This window comes from Homo sapiens, chromosome 7 (assembly GCF_000001405.40).
Source record: "Homo sapiens chromosome 7, GRCh38.p14 Primary Assembly".
Taxonomy (NCBI): Eukaryota; Metazoa; Chordata; class Mammalia; order Primates; family Hominidae; genus Homo; species Homo sapiens.
Window position 1 is genome coordinate 78,168,243 of NC_000007.14, and position 16,528 is coordinate 78,184,770.

The 16,528-nt window shown below is 40.0% G+C and overlaps 1 protein-coding gene across 15 annotated transcripts in view; it reads right to left on the reverse strand.

Annotated features, from left to right (window-relative positions):
• MAGI2 (membrane associated guanylate kinase, WW and PDZ domain containing 2) overlaps window positions 1-16,528 on the reverse strand; it is a 1,436,613-nt gene that overhangs the window by 151,188 nt on the left and 1,268,897 nt on the right. For all 15 annotated transcript variants that reach the window (XM_047421093.1, XM_017012845.3, NM_001301128.2 and 12 more), the window contains one exon: window positions 9,769-9,860. In XM_047421093.1, the coding sequence (XP_047277049.1) occupies window positions 9,769-9,860 (92 nt within the window). The remainder of the gene's footprint in view (window positions 1-9,768; window positions 9,861-16,528) is intronic.

Below are 16,528 nucleotides of genomic sequence, written 5' to 3' on the forward strand. Positions count from 1 at the left end.
CCTCCCAGGTTCACGCCATCTTTTTCCTTTTTATATACAGTTATATAACTTGTGGAAGATTTGATTCTCACATTCCATCTCTTGCCCTCAAATCTGAGCATGCACTTGTAAAGTAAAAAATGAGATGTTGGAAAGATGCCCTTTCAACTCTTTTAAGTTGTTTAGTGCTAGAGATAAATATTTTGAACATGCTGCAGACTGCCATGAAGTTTTGGGGACACCTGCTTTCTGGCTCATCATAAATGACGAATACCCTTAAGGAAAATTCTAATCCCAAATAATCTGATGCTAATTGGCTGAAACAAGGTGAGGATTGAATTCTGGCTCCGTTTCACAATTTGTGTGGTCTTGGGTAAAGCTTCTTAAACTCTGTGAGCCTCAGTTTCTTCACTTGCAAAATAAGAAAAATAATAATCAGACCTACTTCATGGAGTTATTGGGAGAATTGGATGAAATAACTCATGTGAAGCATTTAACTTTTTTCACGGCACTTAACGAGGGATCAAAAAGACTCAAGGGGAAACTAGCTGTTGCACATTTTTAAATTCTGACAAAGATTGAAAGTTTTCTTTTTCTTTGCTTTGAAAAGCTGGAGGGTAAGGAGAAAACAAAACAAAACAAAGCAAACTCATAGTTGGCTTTTTCTGGCCAGTTGACTTACTCAAAAAAATCTCAAACCTTCTCCAGATTTTTGTTCTATTCTTTTGAATACTTCCTCAGAGCACTGTCCTCTACGCAAAGGACATTCCCAGTTCTGCCTGTTCCCTGAAGTGCTTCTGCTGTTTGGGTGGCTACTGTGCCAGGAAGTGAGAAGGTACCCGTCTAGGAAATGTGGTTATTTTTATAATTCCCTGAACCAGGGACTGTGATGAAAGGCAACACATAAGTTTTCCCATGTCCCATTAGAGGCACTCAGTTTAGTGTGCATTAGCAGGGCTTTTTTCTTTCTCAGAGGAAAGAAAATAGTATTACATATTTTAATTTTGCTGTTTAACCTATAAACAATTTTTCAAACTCATGACCAATAGGTCCCCCTTTTCTTTTGCCAGTGGCTTAGCCACACAGCAGCTGATGGCAGTGGTTACCATTAGCCTGATGATACTACAGAGGCTATGTTTCATTTTAAATCCCTTGCTTCCAGATTGATTTCCTTCAGGCATAATAATTTCTTTCAAATCCCCTATCTGTGAATTCCAGCTAATTTGCAGAGTTGCTCCATCATGACCTTCGGGCTTGCCTTTGTACTTAGTCTCACTGCTCAGTGTGGCCTGTTAACATGATAGCCAGATCTGAACACCCAGGACTTCTCAGGTATGTGCAAAGTTATAGTCTGAAGGGCATCACAGACTTAGTCCATGGAATAGCTCTCTTTCTACATAGGAATGAAAATTTCCCACACTACTTCTGCTTTCCCCTTATTCCTGGGGAGTGAGGTAGGGTGAGAAATAGATTTGCTTCTGTGTGGAATATTAAGTGTTCTGACAAATGATTCATGATTGCTGTCACAGGACAGGCCTGACATCTCCTGCCTTAGACTGGCTGCACAGTGCAGTTCTTTCCCTGCAACTCACTGTAACCATTCACTACAGTCCAGAAGTTGGGTATGCTCTGATATTCTCCACTTTCCCTTCTTGTCATGCCAACCTGAATTTATGAGTTTCTTTATAAAGATGTTCCAATCTATTCTTCAAAAGGCTCAACCCACTATGGAGCACTTCAAAGATTTGGTAAGTGCTTTGTGCAAAAGCCAGTTAAAACAAATGTTTCTCCACTGTCCCATGAAAAGGTGCGTTTAGTTGGTTTGGCCTTAAGAAAATGCTTCAACCTTTAGCTTTCCGATACACTTTAGTGAGAGACTTTACAGCTAGTAATAGAGAAAGAAAATGGCTTGTGAACTTCTTGGCTGGTTAATAATCAATTTTAAGGTATAGCTCTGATTCTAACTGATGAAAGTAAAACACAAAATAGTGGTTACAACTGAGAGAGCCATAGCTGCTACTGGGCCCTATACAAAAATAGTAAAGATGAAATTTCACATCAGAAAATTCCTCTCTTGCTGTAGGAGAACAGCAAGATATACAGCAACATTTACAGATACTCTCAACATTACAGTGTGTGCCAGCAGTTTAATATCATGTATTGAAAAACAGAGCCCAGTAAAAGATCTGCTTTTCTACCATATTGCTGTGATATGAAGTACTCCCCTCATTAATTCATTTATTCAACAAATATTCATTGAGCCCAGGATACTTTTAGGTGCTGGAAATTCATCAGTGAACAATAAACAAAAATCACTACCCTATAGAGCTTCCATTCTAGTGGTCAGACAATCATAAATATAATAAATGTGTAAATTATATAGGATGCCAGAAAGGATGTACTATGGAAGAAATACGGTGGTGGAGATTGGTGTCAGTCATGTGGTCAAGGTAGTGCTAGAGTTGGTTAGAGTAGGCCTCTTATATATTTATTTCTAAATAGGCAGTATATTCAATTACCCCTTCAATTGAATATCTAATAAATAGCATATTCACTATAACACAAGTATAAATTATATAGTATTACATAATTATTATATGTATATATTATTATATAGTTACATTATATAATGTGTCCTTAGCTGTGTTTCAAAAAAAGGTTGCCATACTGTTAAATAAAGTTGAATTGAGCTGAGCATGGTGTGCCGTGTGGTTGCTAGTGCTGCTTGCCCATTAGCGGTATTGTACAGTTACATTTGCTCCATCCATCAGGAGCTGCAGCCTTTGCTGGGCAGAGGCTGACCACTTGCACCGTCACTGCTTCCAGCTCTCCTGCCGCTGTGCTCCTTAGCCTTTGGCATTTGGCACCTTTGTGCATTATATTTCACTGCTGACACAGAGATAGCTCGATATATCTCTCTATTCTGAGAAAAAAACAACTTTTTTCATTTACTTCCAATATGATTTGTACCCTTGACACATTCTATTATTTCCCCTTTGCCACCGTAGGGACTGGATAATCTATGATTGTATCTTGCACTGTAACTCATATTGGTTTCCCAATGCATACATTCTCATGTTGCTTAAGCTTTTGCGAACATGCTTCAGGATATCTGACCCTTTAAGTCAGTAGTTCTCAAACTTTTGGATGCATAGGAATCACCGGGTGAGCTTATTAAAACAGTTCTGGACCCACCCCATGAGAGTCTGATGCTGCAGGCCTGGGAGGGGCCTGAGATTCTGCAGGTTTAACAAGCTCCCAGGAGTTGAATGCTGCTGGTCCTCAGATCAATCACCCTTTGATAGCAAGGCTCTGATTCTTCTCACTTCCCAATAGCCACAGGATCTGTGGTCTCACTGATCACGTCCCAAGTTGGCTGAGCACAAGACCTGAGCTCCCTGACCCATCACAGTAGCTGCTTTGTAGTTCTGCTAAGACACCTATTCCCGTTACCACTGGTCCTGGGATCAGGATCCCTTACTTACCAGGTCACACCCTTTTAGTCTTGCTGACCCCTGGCCCACTGGCCAGTGAACCTTCCAGCCAACTCTAGCCTTGCCCCATTCATTACCTCCCTCTAGCCCAGGGGGACTCTTCAGCCTCAGCTGACCCTTCAGTTCCACTATTCAGTTTTCTCTTCTCTGCCCCCTTGGAGGAGGGTTTTTTTGTTTGTTTGTTTGTTTTTTTTTCCCTATCCCCATTGTTTTGGCCCTGAAGGGAGAGCTTTGTGGCAAAACAGAGCAAGAAAGAACTTCTCCATGAACAACTGATCTGTGGCCCTATCTTTTCAATTGCCTTCTCTAAAACCCCAAAGAAACAAAACAATTCTACTTTATCTCTCGCTGTGAGGGCACAGAACAAAACAGAACATTTGATGTGAAATAACAGCAATTCACATTCAAGTGGCTGCGGTGCCAGTAAGTCAGGGGAAAAACTCACACTAAAAAGAAAAAAAACCAACAAGTAAGACACACACAAACCCAAAACCACCTTTCCAGGCCTTTTGATCGCTTTCATTCTTTCCTGCACTGCCCGATGTTAGCCTAAGCCCAGTAGTATCTGCTCTGTAGTATCTGTAGCCTGGGACAACTTGCCACTATGGCGAGCAGATTTCAGGCTCTTTCCTTCTGAAACTCCTCCAACCAGTGTGCACCACACTCCTGTGCCAAAGACTAGGTCTGTCATCGTCTGTCTTTGAATGGCTTTTCTCCCATGCAGTGTTTTCCAGATCTCTCCCTCTTGATGCCTTTCCATCTCCTCAGCTCACAGCTGGAAATCCCATTTTTGTTCCTTTCTGGCAACTTTTCACTTCTTTCTATTTCTATTGTTATTTAACTGTGAAAAGTATTTCCTCTTGCAGGAAAAATGCCCGTATGCTTTGTCTGAGCAGGAGTCCTGCTGTTCATTATTTGCTGAAAGCCGTGCTGTTGTGTTTAATGTGCACCCTGGGATGTCAATACCATTTCGTATATACAGAGGCAGAAACCCATTTGATGTACTTTATGAGACCTCCTTTAGTTGGGACCAAATCACCTTACATGCCTCTCCCTTTGTAGCTCACCAGCAACTAAATGAGGCTAGCACATTTTGTTTGTTATCTCTGGACTTAGAATGTGGAAAAGCTGGAAGGAAAGGCTTATGGGAGATCTTTACAGTTTCACTCTCCCAGACGGGGTCATTCTGAGATTCAATATTCTGGTTTTCAGGACTAATTTTTTGGCTTTGGTTGTTTTGGAGAGACTTAGGCTGCTACTTTATGGCTTAAATGTCAAAATTGTTAACTTGCAGCATGAATATGTCTTAAATCATTCAAATGAAGGAATAAACCGGAATAAATCTAAGTAAACACAACAGGATAACCAGCAATCCATGTAATCTGAGGAGGCTTATCATAAATACTTGATGACTGCCCACTGGAGGGGAGAAAGGATTCAGGAATGCAAAGCCAATATTCAGAAGTGATAGGAACCTGGGAACTTGTGTACAAACCAGGCAGAAAGATGTCCTGAGGCTGGGTGGTGATCATGGCTGCATTCACGCATCTGAGCTTCATTTCGTACAGGACATCTTCCATTCTGGTAACAATTCTATTGCTTCTGCACCAGGCAAAGTCCAGCAAGGCCACTCTCCTCTTGAGCCAGCCAAGACTATTCCCTCCCTGTGACTCAGTCATGCAATCCCTTCTGCTTTTGGAGGAGGAGGGGAGCGGTTGAAGATAATATCTACAGAATGGGGTGCTGGCTTCCCCCCAAAGCAGACAAAGCATGAGCCAAGGGGTCCAATAAATTCAGAATTTCATTTTGTAAAGACTCTATTAAAGTAAGTATCATAGAAAGAATTAGAAACTTTGTTGCTTTGCCTAATATTTATTTTATAGTTTAATGTTATTTGTATTTCTTAATGGGAGAAAGGACCTGATAATCTTTTCCGTGCTTAGGTTAGGTTTTGTAATTATCTGGCCCTGGTTGAAGGCTCAATTGGCATAAAATATTCATCTTTCCAATGTCTTTTAATTCAGTCCTCTGGGTTGGGTACTGGGATGGGAATCTCAAAGACAGTAGCTTTAAAGAGTAGCACAGGCATACAGGAGTTTTGGGAACTGCAGCCAGGCTCAGTCTAAAAGGGGCCATTGCTTAGTTCCAGCCAGTTGTTGTCATGGAGAAAGGCAAGCTCAATGTTGCTAAATTTAATTTTCAAGAGAAGATGAAAATCCGTTTTTCAAAAGATGAAATTAATCGGCGCTCAACAATTGTAAAATACTGGGGGAACTAAAAAAAACATGCTATAGGGCCGCCAGGACGCTATCTCTGTTTCTGGGACTAGGCCACTTTAATTCTACAGAGCCTGTAGAACTTAGAGGCCTCAGAAAATATAAACTCCAGATCCTTACTTGTTCTGAGAAGCTCAGGTGACAGTTTTGACTTGGTGGAAAAAATACAGTCTTCAATTCCATTTAATAAATATTTACTGTACCAGGCTAGGCTTGGAACACATAAACACCATTAAATTACAGTCCTTGCCTTCGAGGAGCTCAGAGATTAGTAAAAGGGGGAAAAAAGAGCACATGAGTCAGTGTATTCCGGAACAAACAGAGAGCTCATCTTTCTGGTGGAAACCCCTTAGGTTGGTAAGTTTGAAGTATTATGTTAGTATAAGTGCAATGGATTCTAGATGGGTTTACCCTTAAATGCCCTGTAATTGTTTCAGCAAGTGCTCAGTGTCCCACAGAAGTGATACAAAAATTGCCTTAAAGTTGTATTTTATTTTGAGCATGGTTTCATTTTGTTTCATTCATTTGATATCTTTTAAGCACATGGCTTTGCCATAAATAATTTGGTCTCAGCCCAAAGTGAAGTCTGGCCATTCTCCCTGGTTTCTGAAAGGTTAACCCTTGGAATTAGGAGTGTCTTTGTCATTCATGGTGAGCCCCTTTGACCATACCTGATGGTTTATGCTAAGGAGATGACCCAGGATGGGGCCAGCCTCACCAATAATCTTAGGGTAGGGGCTGACCATACCCGAAAGACCAGCATTGTAATTAGAGGGTTGTGTCTTTGAGCCACATGATATCAGCCTGGCCTCTGAGGAAGAAAGGGGGCTGAAGATTGAGGTCATCCTTGTGGGCAATGGTTCAATCAATCATGCCCATGTAACAAAACACTGGGATAAAAACCCTGGACACCAAAGCTTGGGTGAGCATCCCTGGCTGGCAATCCTCTCTGCATGAATGCTGGAGGGTAACAAGTCCTTAAGGGTGATGGAAGTGTCACATTTGGAACCCTTCCAGACTTTATCCTGTGCATCTCTTCTTTTGGATGGTTCTAATTTTTATCCTTTCACTACAATCAAACCATAATCATAAGTACAGCACTTTCTTGAGTTCTGAGTTGTTCTAGTGAATTATTGGACCTGAGGAAAGCTGTGAGCACAGGACAGTTCTCTGGGTGGCCTTGGACTCACCCAATTTTTTCCCCTTCTTCTCTTGTAGTTGTCAAGAATAACTATAGAAGGTGCTAGGAACACAACATCTTGAGATAAAGAGGGGCTAGCTGGAACAGCCTGTGTTTTGTTCCAGTCCCCCCTAGAAACAGGATGTCCTTCAGTGCTTGAGTCCAGTGTGACATACTTCTCCAGGGTAGAAAACCCACAGTAGGCTGCTTTTTGGGGCCCCTCAGCTGAGGTGCAAGTGTGAGTGGAGACTCCATCTGTCCTAGGCAGCTTTCCTGAGCCTTGGGGAACTTGCTCTTCATGAATCCTTGGCTTCTACTGTCACTTGCTGCCTCCCTGTAAGTGATAAATCCACTTCACGTAGCCTGGTGTGTGGGTGGGTGTTCTGTCTCAACAGACACAGATAAGTTGGCAACCAGTGCACGGCGAACCTACTACATGGTGGGGCCCCCAGATTCAGAGCTAGTGTTTAAAGTTGGGGTGGTCTGTGGAGACTGTTCCCTTAGACTCTGACATTTGGCAAACTTATTTCAGCAGACGCCAGGAGTCTTGGGCAGAGGTGGCAGTCTGAAGACTGTGACCTTAACCTCGAGTTTGGCTCACTCTGGATAATGACACGTTTTTCAATTATGGAGTACTCATGTTGGAAAAAAAGGGTAAGACAAAGTCCTTGCTTAGGAGAAATTTAAAATCCTGCTGATTAAAACAAAATCGGCAGACACATGAACAATCCTGAAGGAAGCCAAGCTGTATAAATATCCTGCGGAGGTCAGGAGGTTCTGTAGCATAAATCAGTGCGTTAAATGCTTACAGATATGAAGGGACTTGAGAATGTTTTCAGTTCTCTCTATTATAAAACAAGGTAAGTTATAGAGGGCAGGGAGGCTGGAGGGCTGACTCGGTCACCTAGGATCCCTGGTAATCTCAGAATCGGAGATGGGGGAGAGTAAACAAAGCTGTGAATGGGAGTAAAACACAGCCAAGAGTTCCTTTTCCTTGTGACATGAGATTCTTAATTTAGTCTCTGAATAAATTTAAGTCTGAAGTTACTTGAGCCCTGTATTTTACCTCAGCATTTTCCCTCCTCTCAAAGCACCAAGAAAAATCTGGCCAATCCTCCTTGGCAAAAGCACCTTCATGTCTTCTTTGGCAGCTGGGAAGTTAGTGACGTTCTGGTTGACTGTTGCCAAATTTCATCCCCAGGAATTCGGAAATAAGTCTTTTTTTCCTGGAGAGCCCTCATCCTTGGAGTATAAGCTCAGCTTCCTGGGGTTTTCTGTAGAAAGGGACCTCATCAATCATCTAGTTCAACTCCTCCCGCAGGGCAGAGGAAGCGCCTCGGGGTTCCTGCCAGGTTCCCATTGGTTGCTTGAATACCTCTTGTGGGAAGGAGCCCACTCTTCACCCAGGCAATCTACTTTACTCTGAGACAGTTTTAACCGTTTCAGATTCCTCTCATTTATTAGATTAACTTTTTTCTCCTGAAGATTTCTGCCCAGGTTTTATTTTTATTTTAAATTTTATTTTCTGGGGCCAGGCATGGTGGCACATGCCTGTAGTCCCAGCTACTCAGGAGACTGAGGCAGGAGGATTGATTGAGTCCAGGAAGTTGAGACTGCAGTGAGCTGTGATCACACTACTGCACTCCAGCCTGGGTGACAGGACAAGACTCTGTCTCAGGAAAACCACATATATATAATATTTGTAGTACATATAGTATATTTAAAAACCATATATAGACACACACACACACACACACACACACACACACACACACACACATATATAGTATATTTCCTGGGAGAATCTAGTAACAAGAGAAACAAAATTGATAATGATAAACATTTATTCAGCACTTAATGTGATCCAGACATAATGCCAAGACCTTTATATATATATATATTATCTCCTTTAATCCTCAAATCTACTCTACAATAGAGCACTATTGTTATCCCCATCTTGTAGATGAGAAAGCTGAGGCTTAAGATTTAACTCCCTTACATGAGCTAGGATGGAGTTCAGGTGCCAGAGCCGGATGGGATGTAGATAGCTGACTGCACTGCTCAGGCCCTTCACTTATTCAAAACTTTCGTGGACCTAACTTAGTCACATTGGGTACCATTTAAGACACATCTTTTACAATGAGTGTTTTATAGCTTATATTTTAACATATGCTCATAAATCTAGCCTTGCTGTGTTTTCTGTGTATTAGTGACTACTAGTATTTTATGTTTCACTGTGAATACGCGCACACACACACACACACACACACACACAGACACACACACACATACACACACACAAAGTGTTCTACAAAGCCCTTCTAGATTTCCCAATATATATTAGGCCAACTGCAGTTGACTTTATGAACACCTTCTGGTAATCCCTTAATTCAAATCTGGCTGAGATTCTGCAGTGCTGAGCTTGATTTTATTTCTGTTTATCCCTGTGTTTTATCTCCTTTGCTGTTTTGGTTAAAAACATACATAATTCTGCTGTTCCCAGGTGGGTGTTACCTCTACTCATAAACTGTTACCCAAAGATACCAGGGGTTCAGTGCAATTAGATAACGAAAATACTCAAGAGGAATTCAATCGATTCTAAAAAAAGAGCAATGTCCCTATTGAATGTGATTTCTAAAGAGATATTTGTCGTGGAGATAACTGCATGTCGTGAGATCTTTTTAAAGAAAACAGCAAGGAAAAAAAAAATCCAAAGCTTAAACTTCTTTATGAGAGTCCTAAAACATTTCCTTTTAGATATCACACTAAACACTATTTTCCCTGGTGTTTACTCATACAATACAGCCCCAAGCATGGAAATAAAGAAGATTCAACTTACAGGCTGTCCAGGCTCATCTCCCCCGAGGATTCTGAAGCCAAATCCAGACTCCATCCTCCGAAGATGAACATCCAATTCCTTATAATCTGGACCTGGCATAAAGGAGATCCCATTGAGTAATGAATCCTGCCTCTTTCCCAGCCCCTGAGGAACTGAACATACCAATGATAAATTAATTTTGTGGATGCGATTAATGAGAGTGCTGTTAGGGTCAATGGAAACCATAGAGGATACAAAAAATATGGCAGCAAAAAAGTAGGTGTTCCAAATGTAGGTTGTCCCTGGAATAATAGTGACTAGCCGAGGGCACTACTGAGGTATTACCAGAAGCAGAAAGAGTACATGAATTTTCTGAGTAAAAAAATTGATGCCTTTATAATTCTTGATTTTCCTGAGAGCATTCAGATTGCCCTCAAGAAGCTAGACTGTCACTTTGAGGATGTTTACTCTGATTAGAACAATTATTGCGCAAGTAAGAGAGAACAGATGGCAAAACCCTGGAACTGTCCAGTAAAGCACTGCCTGGTAATTTATTAATATCTGTTTATGACATGATGCATCCAGTTTAGGAGTGTGTGTGTGTGTGTGTGTGTGTGTGTAGGGTATAAACGTATGCCCAATAGAAGTTGTCTCTTTTAAAATTGCAAAAATTAGAAGATATAGAATTTAAACTTTCTTGTATTGAGGTTCAAGAAGCATTTATTTTCTGACAAACTCCTTTAGGGTTTTTATAACTTACAGGTAGAAATTCATCTGGGTCTAAGGTGGACTTTTATCACCGAAACATTTTAGAATGTGCAAGCCATAGATTGACTTTTGACTTCATGAGAGTACTCAAAATAAATAGAAGATACTTTTCTGAAGTCAGCTGAAAGAACACAGTTGTATTTCAAAATAAGATGAAAAACTCTCCTGAATGTCATTTTTTCAGCCTTAGAAGAAACTAAAACTATTAAATATAAAAAGTTTTGACTTTTTAAGTAGAATCTGATTTATGCTTAGCCTGTCCCCTTGCCCCTTGGCACCTTCCTCAGGGGGAAATACTTCAGTTGTGACCAAGCTGCGCATACTTTCATGTCCACTGCTGGGGTGCCAGCAGATGATCAGCAATTTAAAGAACTATTTATTATGCTGTCTCTTGCTTAAGAAATGTTTAGTGGTTTCTGGACCTGAATGGTTTAAAGGAGGTATTAGAACTGATAGAAGCAGGTATTAAGTAAAATTCCCCTTGCTTAAACAGGATAGTTGTAGAAATTAAGACGAGATTTCAGAGAATTCTCATGGGACAAAAATCTATGTCTGAGCCACATGATTATACAGTAGCACTCGTTGTAGAGAGAGGCTCATTGAATGCTGGCCAGGCAAATATTTTCCAGGCTCTGCAGTAGGTGGGACTGCTGGAGTGATACAGTGTACAAAGCACAATTATACAGGCTTGCCTTGGTGCCCAACAACCTGGGCTATTCCCAGGGATATATGAAAGGCATCATTCACTTCTGAGACGTGGGCAAATGCCGATTATTTATCTGGTGCTCTTTTAAATAAAGATGAATCAGGCGCTTAAGTACATATGTTTATATGCATTGTACAAGATTCAATGAGCATTCATACCCTTTTATGACCAAATGCACACATGACCAAGACCTTTTCCATTCAATGAATAATATTAAACTCTGCAAGAAGAATAACCAGTTAGACCTCCACATCCTTTAGAAATTATATAATCAGTCATATTTTAAAGATGGGAGAACTTAAAAAATTCCATTCCTATTAAATAGAGGTGGTGGCAGAGGAAAGATGAAAATTTTGCCTTACATTCTATGAGACACAACCGGCTTTTGAACTCAGTTTCTTCTGAAGTCTGTATATCATATATGAAATCACATATTGGGGTGTGTGCTAAGCCTTTGGGAGTCTGGAGGCAGATGGAGTAGAGCTCTACAAAATCATAGCAGGTATCTGTACTCCTCCCAAGAGAAGGAGAAAGACAAGGGGAGATCGGAGATGACAGATATTGCTCAATCACTGTTCAAACTTCTACAAGTTGAGGATAATACAACTGCTCATGGCAATCTCTTCTGTAAGTCACTTTAAGCTGGGAGGAACTCTAGACCACATACACATTAAAAATACAAATAGAAGGTGCTGTATTTGTGACACTTAAAATGATAGAGCCAGCATATGTTTAACTAGAACTTTTCATCTCCTGTATTCTTCTCACTTTTGCATCACCACTGAATATGCTAAGTGGGAACTTGTTCTTCCAGTGACTTCAGCACCCATCCATATTGCACAAGGAGCTTTACAAGACCTTTATTGTGTGATCCATCTTATTTGCTACGTAAAACTTTTCCCCTAAAGAAATGCCGAAATTATGACCATCTCAGGAATGGAACTTTCAGAGGTGTCAAGGCACAAGAAGTTTGTCTTTTGTCAGAGAATCTGTGATTCCTGGAGGAATTAAGGGGCTTTTCTTTAATGAATAACTTATGACTTCTTTTTAGGAGAAAAATCTAGATTTTAGCAAGTAAATTTTATTGAACTCTGAAGAACAGAGACACGAATAAGGCATTTTTTCTCCTCTTCCTGCTCTTCTTGCACATTTTGGTGACAATACCGATCCTGTTGCTCTGACCCACCCTGATTTCAAACATAGGGTGGTATGTGCCAGCCATTTATTTCATCTTCACTCTTCCATTCTTCCCAGCAGGGGTGGCCAGCTTCATGGTTCATGAGCAGGAAACAGAGGCAAAGAGAGACCCCTTAGAGAAGAATGCTGGTAGATGTGATTTATTTTTTATTTCTTTGTTAATTTTGAACACAGATTCAGAGGCTGCAGGGTCTGGACTATTTTACAGAAATAGTCAACTGGAAAAAAAGTTCATATGATAGATTGTGCCTTGAGGCAGCAGTATTTTTTTTTTTTTTTTTTTTTTTTTTAGGGAAAATAAGAACATTTTAGGAAGATAATTTTTCTTTGGTTTCTTTTTTTCCTTGGAGTCTGGCTTTACAAAATAACTAAAATTATATGTACAAAGCTGGGAGACATCATTCTTTTTCCTTCCTGCTTTGTTAGCTCTCTTCGCAGATTGTGATGTTTCTGACTTTCCCCTAGTTGCTCTTCTGGCCCGACGACATGTTTCAATTACTGTATCAGGTTTTGTCTCTTTCCTTATTAATGCAAGAACTTAAAGTGAAGAAATCCAAGGGCCATCTCTTTACCTCACTGCAACAGAGTTAACAATCACTATTCCTTTCTCTTGTTTCAAGAAACTATGCACCAGGGAGGTTGTTAGATGAGGGTGTCTGGTAGACACCTATTTGGACCTGAGTTGCTTTGCATGTTGTTTAACTGTGCCCCATCCTTTTACTCTTCTGTTCCCTTCTTTATTTTTTCTGTGCTCTTTTTAAAAAAATCTTCTTTTTCCTCAGCACTTTTTGCAGAACTGTCAGAGACACTCTCAGGTGTCGCTTAATGCAGCTCAAGAGGAGGCAGTGGTTGTAAAGAAATGGACTAAGAGGACACAAAGCATTCTTTGGATATTAGTGTTCAGTGGCCAGCTGTGGCTAGTGTTGCTTCTTAGAAGTTGGGTCCTCGGATCCTCAGGCATTATGGAACAAAGCATCTCATGATCCTCTTCCTAGATGGAATTTTACATGACCACTGTGGCAAGTTACTGAAATGAAATTTAGAAGTCTTAATTTATTCTGGGCTCACACCAATATTGCAAAAACGAACTTTAAAAAGTAGCAAATGGTGAGCACATCCAGGTATCAGGACAACCTCTCTCATAATAAAGAAAAGCAGATTTCAAAAGTTGATTCCTACTTCACATGAAGACTCTAGGGGCTTCACATGCTGTATGTTTCCTTAGTCTTGCTTTTGAAAGAAGTAGCTCTGTGCACAGTTAGGGAAAAGGCTGGGTAACTGAACACAACTGATTAATTTTATGAATGGATTCAATCTTCAGAAATGCAAAGAACAACATTTTTATGAATTAATTTGGCATATGGGATGCTGCTGTAAACATGTCAATTAAAATTTGGTACTTGAATCCCCTTTCATGTTTTAATTAAAACATAAGTACCATGGCTTATCATCACAGTTTGGCACAGAGGATACATTTATTCAATTTTTCCTGCTGGAAAGAGCATCACTTTTTGGGCTTTTCCTTGTAAAGAGATCTAGGAAAGTTAGCATGAGGAAGATATCAGGAATCAAAAAAGGTTATTAAACATGGTCTTGACTTCTGGATTTCTATGCACTCCAGATATAGAAAGAGTTAAACAGGAATTATATAGTTTCTGTTGCTCAAATCTAACATTACCTAGTAAGTAGCTAATACTCCATCCTTTAAAATATCCCTTCTCTTTAGTTGTTTGCTTTATCCCTGTGGGTATGTGAATGTGACCAAGCACGTGTTAGCCATAGTAGAAGCCATCTCCCAGTTTCTATTTGGTTCTCTCCTCAGCCTTCACATGAGCTCAGATTTTTCCATCCTAAATATGACTTTGCTCCTTCCTTCCATCTCTTTCTAGGAAAAGTAGTCTCTAGGGGAGCCTTCATTCTACCTCTGATTCATTCCTGCCAGTCTGGTTTATGCTCTCTCTTAGCACTACTGCACTCTTTAAGGTCACTATGCATGCTAGTGACCAAATTAAATGGCCTCTTTTTCTTTCCTCATACTGATTGATTTCAGTGCCTTATTTGATATCGTTGATGCACTGTTTATGACTTCAGATTTCTTTTGATCCTAAACAAGGAAAGATCTCCTTTGGAAGTCGTTTCTGTGACACCCCATTTCCTGGCTCTCTTATTTTTGGGTGGAGTTGCCCATTCAAAGTTCCTGGCCATAGATTCCATTGTTTCTCACTAATATTCTCCTTAGGTGATGGCATAATTATCATTGGCCATCTATAGTGTTCCATTATGCACAGTCTGTAGGAGTTGCTAAATAAACATTACCTGAACTTAGTTGCCTTAAGGCACTCTCTAGTCTCCTAGTCCCAATGAACCACAGCATTATTCCACTATGGAGTTATCACTTAGTTTCATAAATATGTATTATTTAGAACTTCCTACTATCAATTTTGCCTCTGTACCTAAGGATCTTATGCAGGTAAAGTTAATAATATACCTTATAATTATGATAAACGTATCTGAGTCAGAATCATAACATAATTTGATGAGACATTTTATAAATGTGACAAAAAACATGGGGCATCTACTTATTTTATCTTATTTTTGTATTTTTGTATTTTTTTTTTTTTTTTGAGATGGAGTCTCGCTCTGTTGCCAGACTGGAGTGCAGTGGTGTGATCTTGGCTCACTGCAACCTCCACTTCCCAGGTTCAAGCGATTCTCCTGCCTCAGCTTCCCGAGTAGCTGGGACTACAGGCAAGCACCACCACGCCCAGCTAATTTTTGTGTTTTTAGTAGAGACGGGGTTTCACCATGTTGGCCAGGATGGTCTCGATCTCTTGAACTCGTGATCTGCCAGACTCGGCCTCCCAAAGTGCTGGGATTGCAGGCATGCACCACCGCAATCGGCCATTTTTGTATTTTTTATTAGAGATGAGGTCTTGCTTTGCTGCCCAAGCTAGAGTGCAGTGGTGTGATCACAGCTCACTACCACCTCACATTCCTGGGTTCAAGCCATTTTCCCGTCTTGTCTCGGTCTCCCAAGTAGCTGGGACTACAGGCATGCGCCACAGCGCCCAGCTGTTTAAATTTTTTGTAGAGATGGAGGTCTTGCCATCTTGTCTAGGTTGGTTTTGAACTCCTGGGCTCAAGCTGTTTTCCCACCTTGGCTTCCCAAATGCTGAGATTATAGGCATGAGCCACAGCGCCAAGCAAGATATATTTATTTTAAATGCAGTCATGATTTTCCAGAATATTCTGATAACTTGTGTGGACATTCAACCAACTATTTGGATTGGTTCTTTTCTTCAAAATGTGAATTGCACAGTAACGTAATATACCCCAACTATATTATAACTTTTGTCTTCTAAGTAATGTATTTTTTAAAAAGGTAAAAACTATTACTTTGCATATATGTCAAAGTAATCTAAACTACTGGGCCATTCTCCTTCTCTTGTTTTTAAATGAAGTGCATTCAGAATCTGAGATTTTTAAGACATGTGCTTTTTGTGACCAGTAAGCTGAGATTTAAAATTCCAAATTAAATCTTGATTTCATTTTGCAACTGTAATTACTAGGTCCCATTTTCTCTCTGGGCATAAGATAATGTTTTAAAAAAATTGCAAAGATTTAGCAGCCAGTATAGAGGAATAATCATGCTGTAAAATTTTTAGACAAAGCTAAACAAATACTTTAGACATTATTTTAGGAGAAAACACTAAATAATATCTTCCATATTTTCTACATATCCCCCCAAAAATGACATGGAAACTTACAGAATGAAATGATCTCAGGCACATATATTCTTCAAGGGGTGTTAGAACATGCTGAGATGGATAATGAGCTGTCATCATGGAAACACTCTGGAGATGTGTGCTGTGAGCCCACAGCCCTGAAATAGTGCTACTATTATAAAACACTATTTTCCGCAATTGTTTGAGTATTCTGGCTTTCAATCTGGTGGTCTGATTAGCTGTTTAAAGCATTTTCATCACCAATTCTAAGAGCAAAAAAAAATTAAATCTTCTTTTTCCTCCAACATTTGTACAATAATGTTAAATATTTTAGCCTAAACCAAAATTAGTGTTTTCGAAATGGTTAAGTAAAAAATAAAATTTC